Consider the following 11358-nt stretch of genomic DNA (forward strand, 5'->3'; position numbering starts at 1 on the left):
TACTTATTTCTTAAACATCTTATTTTGAAATAATTACACAGATTTTCACAAAGGTATAAAGAAACATACAAGGGGATCCCAACACCCTTCACCAGACTTCCCTAATGTTAACATTTAGTACAATTATAGTACACCATCAAAATCAGAAAAATGAATTTGTTACACAACAGAATTTATTCAGATTTTACTAGTTATACATATGCTTGCTTATGCGTGTGTGGAGGGGTGTAGCTCACTGTAATTTCATTATATAACCACCACTACAATCAAGACTAGTAATTGTACTTCATAAAAATTCTCCCTCATACTACCACTTTATTACCACACATTTCCCCCACCCCTCAAATTCATAATCCCTGGAAACCATTAATCTATTCTCCATCTCTATAATTATCATGTTTAATGAATGTTGAACAAATGGCATCGTGTGGTGTCTCCATTTTGTTTCACTGAAATGCAGCTGGAATCACCCCAAAAGTGGTGGGAGAAATGTTTCCACAAAAGAGTACTTTGAACTGTCCTGTGATGTGGCTGTTTGAGACTCCAAAGAAAGAAGCACTAAACACCAAAGTAATCAGTCCAAAGCATTTATTAGGAGAACTTAGAGTGCTACAGCAATCCACATGATAGAGAGCAAAAGAAAAGGGATGTTCGATGTAGATACTATCTAGGTACTTGATACTACCATTCAATGGGTAAATGGCTACATACCTAGATACGTTTGCATCAAGAAGGCCGGGTATGGAATTTTTATGAGGGTTTAAGGAATTTGGCTCAGGGACAAAGCCAATATCTTTCAGTGTTTGGGGCAACAACCTAGATACCTTTATCAGTGTTTGAGAATGTTCAAGGCCTTGGTTTGGGGTCAAGCTTGCTGGAAAATACCTGCCACTGTCTAGGTCACAAAGCGGTCAAGGTACTCTGGGAATTTTTAGTCAGGACACAGAAAGTAGGAAGAATTGGGGAACCTTACAAGTTTCCTTTTATGATTGACTTTTTTCACTCAGCATAATTTCATTGAGGTTTATCTAAGATGTTGCATTATCAATAGTTTGTTTTTTTTTTATTGCTGAGTAGTAGTCCATGGTATGAATTTACTTTCCTTTGTTTAGCCATTTACCCATTGCATGGTACTATCTAGTACCTAGTTTTTGGCTGTTAAGAATAAAGTTTCTATTAACCTCTCTGTATAAAATTTTACATGGAAATGTTTTCATTTATTTGGGATATTCTCCAGCCAACCTAAAAAGTTATATCCACACTAAAACCTACACATGAAATTTTATGTCAACTTTATAATTGCAAAAAATTGTAGTGAACTCAGGTATCCTTCAATAGGTGAATTGATAAAATCTGTGGTATGACCATCTGGTTTTTCCAGAGTAGGCCTTAGAGCCTTAGTCTCACAAATGATCCTAAAATGACCCTGTAACTCAACTCTACCATTCATCTATGGTCTGAGAGCAGTCCTGCTACCCAGGGACCTGAAAAAGACATGACCATTCATGCCCCTAAAGGGAGGCCTCTTGACCTCAGACTGACTGCAAATCTTTAAGCAGTCCTATGACCCCACAAAAGCCTTGCTCAGACATTGTCCAAGTAGCCCTATCCACCCAAGTATGGGATAGGATAAACACCCATTTATGCCCACAGAGGCAGACCTACAGATCTTGGATTCAGCAGCTTTGTAACTGAAACAGCCCTGTAATTCAGATCCTGTCCTCTTCAACCATACTCCTGAGCCAATCTTGCCTGGCCAGAGTTCCAAACAGTGAATGAGCAGGAGCCTTCCAAGAGACCCAGATGGTATAACATTTATCCACAGGAAACAGGCCCATCATCTATTGACCCAACTGCATATCCTGAAGTGGACCTTTATCCCAGAACCACCCCTACTAACCAAAGTCCTGGAGGCAGTTTCATCTGACCAGGAGTCAATCAGGATCCATGCCTTCCTCTGTAATAGTACTGCCAAACACTGACCCCATAATGAACCACACTGTGGATCCACATGTAAAGATGTCATGTGACCTGGTTGTGACCCTGCTTGGCTATAAGCCTAGAGGCAATCCCATCATTCTAGAGACCAGACAGGAGAAGGCTTTTACCTGTCAATCTGTCAATCATCATAAAGACAGGAAGAGGTGTTTGTGCTTCAAATACATCAACACAAATATAAGGCTACACAGAGTACAATCAGGCAAACATGATACCACCAAAGGAAACAAAAACCTCCAATAACAAACCCAAAAGAAATGGAGATCTATAAATTGCCTGACAAAAATGTCAAAATAATCATCAAAAAACTCAATGAGATGCAAGAAAAAAACACTTAAAAAACTAAAATCAGAAAAACAATAAATGAACACAGTGAGGAGTTTAATAAAAAAATAGAAACCATAGGAAGCAACCAAATAGAAACCTTGGAGCTGAAAAATACAAATATAGAACTGAAAATTTTAATGGAAATCTTCAAGGGTGAACTTGATCATGCAGAATAAGAGGACAGTGAACGTGAAGACAGGTCATTTGAAATTAGCCAGCTAGAAAAATAGAAAAAAATTTTTAAAAAGCATATAGAGACCTATGAAACATCATCAAACAAATTTATACTTCACAGAAGTGACAGAAGGAGAAGAAACAAAGAGAGGAGCTGAAAGCTTATTTAAAGAAGTAATGGTTGGAAACTCCTCAAATTTTGGGAAGAATATGGACATTCTCATTCATGAAGTTCATAGGTCTCTTAGCAAGATAATCACAAAGGTTACCCTGTGACACATAATAATCAAATTGCCAACAGTCAAAGATGAAATTTTGAAAGTAGTAAGAGAAGTTACTCATACAGCAGAACATCTATAAAACTATCCAAATATTTCTTAGCAGAAACGTTGCAGACCAGGAAGAGGTGGGATGACATATTAAAAGTACTGAAAAAAAACTCACAGAACTACAACATAAGAATATTATATCTGGAAAAGCTGTTCTTTAAAAATAAGAGACTTTTTAATGATTGCCATTCTAACTGGCAAAAGATGGTATCTCATCATGGTTTTGATTTGCATTTCTCTGACCAGTGATGAGCATTTTTTCATATGTCTGTTGGATCATGAAAAAGTCAGGAAACAACAGATGCTGGAGAGGATGTGGAGAAGTGGGAATGCTTTTATATTGTTGGTGGGAGTGTAAATTAGTGCAACCATTGTGGAAGACAGTGTGGTGATTCCTCAAGAATCTAGAACTAGAAATAACATTTGACTCAGCAATTCCATTACTGGGTATATACCCAAAGGATTATAAATCATGCTACTAAAAGACACATGCACACATATGTTTATTGCAGCACTATTCACAACAGCAAAGACTTGAAACCAACCCAAATGCCCATCAATGATAGACTGGATTAAGAAAATGTGGCACATATACACCATGGTATACTATAAATCCATAAAATGATGAGTTCATGTCCTCTGCAGGGACATGGATGAAGCTGGAAACCATCATTCTGAGCAAACTATCACAAGGACAGAAAACCAAACGCCACATATTCTTACTCATAGATGGGAGTTGAACAATGAGAACACATGGACACAGGACGGGGAACATCACACACTGGGGCCTGTCAGGGGTTGGGGGACTGGGAAAAGGATAGCATTAGGAAAAATATCTAATGTAAATGGCGAGTTGATGGGTGTGGCAAATCAACATTGCACATGTATACATATGTAACAAACCTGTACATTGTACACATGTACCCTAGAACTTAAAGTATAATTGAAAAAAATAAAGGAGAGATAGACATTTCCAGATAAATCAAAGCTGGAGTTCACACCATTAGATCTGCCTTATAAGAAATGCTAAAGAAAATTATTTCAGTTTAAACAAAAGATTGTTAAGTAACAACATAAAAACAAATGAAAGTATTTACCTTTACTCACTGGTAAAGGTAAATATATGTAGCCAAATTCAGAATAATACTGTAATGGTGGTGTATAAATTTAACTCTAGTATAGAAGTTAAAATGTATTAAACATAGCTATTGCTACAAAAATGTGTTAATGCATAATACAAAAAGGTTAAATTATGGTATCAATAGTATAAACTTATGTGTGTGTAAACTAAAAGTGTGGACTTTTAGTATATGATATATCAATTTTGAGCTAATTATTTAAATAACTGTAACTCATTTTATGGAAACATCTTGATAACCATATATAGAAATAAAGGCTTCTATAGATACAAAAAATTAAGAAAAGGGAATCAAAGCATATAACTGAAACATAGCAAATCACAAAGGAAGACAATAAAAAGTATTACAAAAGCAGAAAACAGAATGAAAATAATGAATCCTTACCTATAATAATTACAATATAACTGAATTAAATCAAAAGAGAAAGTGGCTGAATGGATTTTTCAAAAAAGATTCAACAATATGATATAAAAGAGACTAGCTTTAGCCTTGAAGACACGTGTAGGCTGAAAGTGAAGGGATGGGAAAAGCTATTCCATGTAAAATGGTAAGTAAAAGAGAGCAGGGATGGCTGTACCTATATCAGACAAGATGGACTTTCAGTCAAAATCTGTCATAGGAAGCAAATAAGGTGACTAATAATAAAGGAATCAACTCATCAATAAGATATAAGAGTTGTAAATATATATGCACTCAACATTAGAGCACTTAAATATATAAAGCAAATATTGACAAAAATGAAGGGAGAAATAGCAATATAATAATAGTAGAGAACCTTAATACTTTCAACAATGTATAGATATTCCAGAAAGAGTATAAACAGCAGACTTGAACAACACTATACAAAAAAGTGAACTTAACAGATATATATAGAATATTCCATCCAACAGCAGCAGAATACACTTTTTTTCTCAAGCACACTTGGGACATTCATCAGAGTAGAACACAAATTGGGCCACAAAACAAGTATTAGCTAACTTAAGAGGACTTAAATCATACCAAGTATTTTTCTGACCGTAATAATGTGAAACTAGAAAATAACAAGAAGAATGTTAGAACATTAAAATATGTGGAAATTAAACAATACACTACTGAAATAGATAAAGAAGAAATCGAAAGAAAATCAAAAAGCATCTTGAAACAAAAACAGAAACACAACATACCAAAACTTATGGGATGACCAAAAGCAGTACTAAGAGGGAAGTTTAACAGTAAATGCTTAGATTGAGAAAAGAAAACAGGCCAGGTACAGCGGCTCACGTCTGTAATCCCAGCACTTTGGGAGGCCAAGGCAGGTGGATTGCTTAAGGCCGAGAGTTCAAGACCAGCCTGGGCAATATGATGAAGCCTCGTCTCTACAAAAAACAAAAACAAAAAAAAACTAGATGTGGTGGCATGTGGCTGTAGTCCCAGCTACTTGGGAGACTGAGGTGGGAGGATAGCTTGAGCCCAGGAATTTAAGGCTGCAGTGAGCCCAGATTGTGCCACTGCACTTCAGCCTGATCAACAGGTGAGATACTGTTCTCAAAAAACATAAATAAAATTTAAAAAACCTGAATGGCTCAATGATGAGTAAAGAAATGAATCAGTGACCAAAAATCACCCTACAAAGAAAAGCTCAAGACCAGATGATTTCACAGGTGAATTATAAAACGAAAGTAAAAAAGAATTAATATTAATCCTTCTGAAAATGTTTCAAAATCTTTAAGAGGAGGAAACACTCTTTTTAAAAAAATTTTATTAATATTATACTTTAAGTTTTAGGGTACATGTGCACAACGTGCAGGTTTGTTACATATGTATACATGTGCCACGTTGGTGTGCTGCACCCATTAACTCATCATTTAGCATTAGGTATATCTCCTAATGCTATCCCTCCCCCATTCCCCCCAACAACAGTCCCCGACGTGTGATGTTCCCCTTCCTGTGTCCATGTGTTCTCATTGTTCAATACCCACCTATGAGTGACAACATGCGGTGTTTGGTTTTTTGTCCTTGCGATAGTTTGCTGAGAATGATGGTTTCCAGCTTCATCCATGTCCCTACAAAGGACATGAACTCATCCTTTTTTATGGCTGCATAGTATTCCATGGTATATATATGCCACACTTTCTTAATCCAGTCTATCATTGTTGGACATTTGGGTTGGTTCCAAGTCTTTGCTATTATGAATAGTGCCACAATAAACATATGTGTGCATGTGTCTTTATAACAGCATGATTTATAATCCTTTGGGTATATACCCAGTAATGGGATGGCTGGCTCAAATGGTATTTCTAGTTCTAGATCCCTGAGGAATCACCACACTGACTTCCACAATGGTTGAACTACTTTACAGTCCCACCAAAAGTGTTCCTATTTCTCCACATCCTCTCCAGCACCTGTTGTTTCCTGACTTTTATTGATCGCCATTCTAACTGGTGTGAGATGGTATCTCATTGTGGTTTTGATTTGCATTTCTCTGATGGCCAGTGATGATAAGCATTTTTTCATGTGTCTGTTGGCTGCATAAATGTCTTCTTTTAAGAAGTGTCTGTTCATATCCTTCACCCACTTTTTGATGGGGTTGTTTTTTCTCGTAAATTTGTTTGAATTCATTGTAGATTCTGGATATTAGCCCTTTGTCAGATGAGTAGATTGCAAAAAGTTTCTCCCATTCTGTAGGTTGTCTGTTCACTCCGATGGTAGTTTCTTTTGCTGTGCAGAAGCTCTTTAGTTTAATTAGATCCCATTTGTCAATTTTGGCTTTTGTTGCCATTGCTTTTGGTGTTTTAGACATGAAGTCCTTGACCATGCCTATGTCCTGAATGGTAATGCCTAGGTTTTCTTCTAGAGTTTTTATGGTTTTAGGTCTAACGTTTAAGTCTTTAACCCATCTTGAATTAATTTTTGCATAAGGTGTAAGGAAGGGATCCAGTTTCAGCTTTCTACATATGGCTAGCCAGTTTTCCCAACACCATTTATTAAATAGGGAATCCTTTCCCCATTGCTTGTTTTTCTCAGGTTTGTCAAAGATCAGGTAATTGTAGATATGTGGCATTATTTCTGAGGGCTCTTTTCTGTTCCAATGATCTATATCTCTGTTTTGGTACCAGTACCATGCTGTTTTGGTTACTGTAGCCTTGTAGTATAGTTTGAAGTCAGGTAGCATGATGCCTCCAGCTTTGTTCTTTTGGCTTAGGATTGACTTGGCAATGCGGGCTCTTTTTTGGTGCCATATGAACCGTAAAGTAGTTTTTTCCAATTCTGTGAAGAAAGTCATTGGTAGCTTGATGGGGATGGCATTGAATCTATAAATTACCTTGGGCAGTATGGCCATTTTCACGATATTGATTCTTCCTACCCATGAGCATGGAATGTTCTTCCATTTGTTTGTGTCCTCTTTTATTTCGTTGAGCAGTGGTTTGTAGTTCTCCTTGAAGAGGTCCTTCACATCCCTTGTAAGTTGGATTTCTAGGTACTTTATTCTCTTTGTAGCAATTGTGAATGGGAGTTCACTCATGATTTGGCTCTCTGTTTGTCTGTTATTAGTGTATAAGAATGCTTGTGATTTTTGCACATTGATTTTGTATCCTGAGACTTTGCTGAAATTGCTTATCAGCTTAAGGAGATTTTGGGTGAGACAGTGGGGCTTTCTAGATTTACAATCATGTCATCGGCAAACAGGGACAATTTGACTTCCTCTTTTCCTAATTGAATGCTTTTTATTCCCTTCTCCTGCCTGATTGCCCTGGCCAGAACTTCCAACACTATGTTGAATAGGAGTGGTGAGAGAGGGCATCCCTGTCTTGTGCAAGTTTTCAAAGGGAATGCTTCCAGTTTTTGTCCATTCAGTATGATATTGGCTGTGGGTTTGTCATAGATAGCTTTTATTATTTTGAGATATGTCCCATCAATACCTAATTTATTGTGAGTTTTTAGCATGAAGGTTGTTGAATTTTGTCAAAGGCCTTTCCTGCATCTATTGAGATAATCATGTGGTTTTTGTCTTTGGTTCTGTTTATATGCTGGATTACATTTATTGATTTGCGTATGTTGAACCAGCCTTGCATCCCAGGGATGAAGCCCGCTTGATCATGGTGGACAAGCTTTTTGACGTGCTGCTGGATTCGGTTTGCCAGTATTTTATTGAGGATTTTTGCATCAATGTTCATCAAGGATATTGGTCTAAAATTCTCTTCTTTGGTTGTGTCTCTGCCAGGCTTTGGTATCAGGATGATGCTGGCCTCATAAAATGAGTTAGGAAGGATTCCCTCTTTTTCTATTGATTGGAATAGTTTCAGAAGGAATGGTACCAGCTCCTCCTTGTACCTCTGGTAGAATTCGGCTGTGAATGCATCTGGTCCTGGACTTTTTTTGGTTGGTAAGCTCTTAATTATTGCCTCAAATTCAGAACCTGTTATTGGTCTATTCAGAGATTCAACTTCTTCCTGGTTTAGTTTTGGGAGACTGTATGTGTCAAGGAATTTATCCATTTCCTCTAGATTTTCTAGTTTATTTGCATAGAGGTGTTTATAGTATTATCTGATGGTAGTTTGTATTTCTGTGGGAGGAGGAAATACTCTTAAACTAATCTTTAAAAAGCCAGCATCACCCTCAAATTAAGGCAAGAAAATAACACTGCAAGAAAAAATTATGGGTCAATATCCCTGATTAACAAAGACGCAAACATTATCTACAAAGTACTAGCAAACAAAATCCAATACCACATTAAAGGACTTGTATACCACAATCAAGTAGGACTTAACCCTGGGATGCAAGGGTGATTCAACATACAAAAATCGATAAATGTGATATGCCACATGAACAGAATTGAGAATAAAAAATCATATGGTCATCTCAATTGATGCAGAAAAAGTATTTGACAAAATTCAACATTGACAAAAACTCTCACCAATTTAGATATAGAAGCAATGTACCTCAAGACAATAAAGGCCATATGTCAAAAGCCCACAGTTAACATCATACTAAATGGTGAAAAGCTGAAAGCATTTTCTGAGATCAGGAAAAAGGCAAGGCCACTCACTTCACTCTCACCAGTTCTATTTAGCATAGAACTATAAGTCTTAGCTGGAGCAATTAGGCAAGAAAAAGAAATAAAAGGCTTCCAAATCAGAAAGGAACAAGTAAAATTGTCTGTTCGTAAATGACATCATCTGCAAACATACAGAATACCCTGAAGACTCCACTAAAAAACTGTTAGAACTAATAAGTGAATTTAGTAAAGCTGCAGAATACAAAATCAACATATAAAGATCAGTTGCATTTCTATATACTCATTACAAACTATCTGAAAAAGAAATAAAGAAAGCAATCTCATTTATAATAACATCTAAAAGAATAAAATACTTAGGAATAAATTTAACTAAGGAGGTGAAAATCTATTCACTAAAAATTACACAACTTTGAAAGAAATGGAAGACCCAAATAAATGGAATGACATCATGTGTTCATGGATCAGAATAATTAATGTCAAAATGTCCATACTACCATACATGATCTACAGATTAAGTGTAACGTTTATCAAAATTCAATTGTCATTTTTCACAGAAATAGAACAAATTTAAAATTCATAAGGAAACACATAAAACCTCAAAAGCCAAAGCAATCTTGTACAAAAAGAGTAAAACTGGAGACATTATATTTCCTAATTTCAAACTATATTTCAAAACTATAGTAATCAAAAGTAGCATAAAACAGACACATTAGGTCAATGGAACAGAATAGAAAGCCCAGAAATAAACACATGCATTAGTTAACCAGTCTTTGACAAGGGCCACAATAATATCCAATAGGGAAAGGATAGTCTCTTCAATAATAGTGTTAGGAAAAATAGATATCCACATGCGAAAGAATAAAATTGGATACTTTCTCACCATATTTAAAAAAAGACAAAAACACCTTAAATGTAACGTAATGCACTGGATTAAAGACTTAAAAGTAAGACCTGAAAATGAGGTAAGACCTATGCCTAGAAGACATAGGGGGAGATCTCCTTGACACTGGTTTTTGCAGGTTTTGGATTTGACACCAAAAGCACAAGAAACAAAAGCAAACATAAACAAGTTTGACTACATCAAACTAAAACTCTGCACAGCAAAGGAAATAACATAATGGAGAGACAGCCCACAGAATAAGATAAAATATTTGTAAACTATATATCCAGTAATGAGTTAGTATCAAAATAAGGAATTCATAAAACTCCATAGGAAAAGAAAAACAAATAGCCTGATTAACAAATGAGGACAGAATCTGAATAGGCTTTTTTTTTCCCCAAAAAGTCATACACATGGCCCACAGATACAGACTTACCTCAGAGATATTGCAGATTTTATTCCAGACCACCACAATAAAGTGAATATTGCAATAAAGCAAATTACAAGAGATTTTTTGTTTTCTTGTGTATATGTTTACAATATATTTTAGCCCATTAAGTGTGCATAGCATTATGTCTAGAAAGACTATCTACATACCTTAATTAAAAATACTTTATTGCTAAAAAAATGGTATCAATCATCTGAGACTTCAGCATATCATTATGTTTTGCTGGTATAGAGTCTTGCCTCCATGCTGATGTCAACTGACTGATCAAGGTGGTGGTTTTTGAAGATTAAGGTGGCAACAACTTTTTATAATAAGACAACACTGAAGTTTGTCACATTGATTGAATTTTTATTTTACAAAAGATTTCTCTGTAGCATGTGATGGTGTTTGATAACATTTTACCCAACGTAGAACCTCTTTCAAAATTGGGAGTCAATTTTCTCAAACTCTGCTACTGCTTTATCAATTTGGTTTATATAATATTCTAAATCCTTTATATATAATATAGGATATTATAAATATTATATATCCTTTATATATAATATAGGATATTATAATATTCTAAATCCTATGTTGTCATTTCAATGATGTCCAAGTCATCACTGGGAGTAGATTCCATCTCAAAAAAACAAAAACAAAAACGAAAACAAAACTTTCTTTGCTCATCCGTAAGAAGCAATTCCTCATTCATTCAAGTTTTATCTATCATTAGATTGCAGAAATTCAGTCACATTCTTGGGATCCACCTTTAATTCTAGTTCTTTTGCTATTTTCAATATATCTGCAGTTATTTCCTCCATAAAAGTCTTGAACCCATCAAAGTTATCTATGTGGTTGGAATCAACTTCTTCCAGGCTCCTATTAATGTTGATATTTTTACCTCCTCTCATGAGTTACAAATACTCTTAATGGCATCTAGAATGGTGAATCCTTTTCAGGTTTTCAACTGACTTTTCCCAAATCCATCAGATGAAGTACTATCTATGGCAGCTATAGCCTTACAAAATGTATTTATTAAATAATAAAACTTGAAAGTTGAAATTACTTCTTTTTTTGAAATTACTTCT

Source organism: Homo sapiens, chromosome 6 (genome assembly GCF_000001405.40).
Source record: "Homo sapiens chromosome 6, GRCh38.p14 Primary Assembly".
In the NCBI taxonomy this organism is placed as follows: domain Eukaryota; kingdom Metazoa; phylum Chordata; class Mammalia; order Primates; family Hominidae; genus Homo; species Homo sapiens.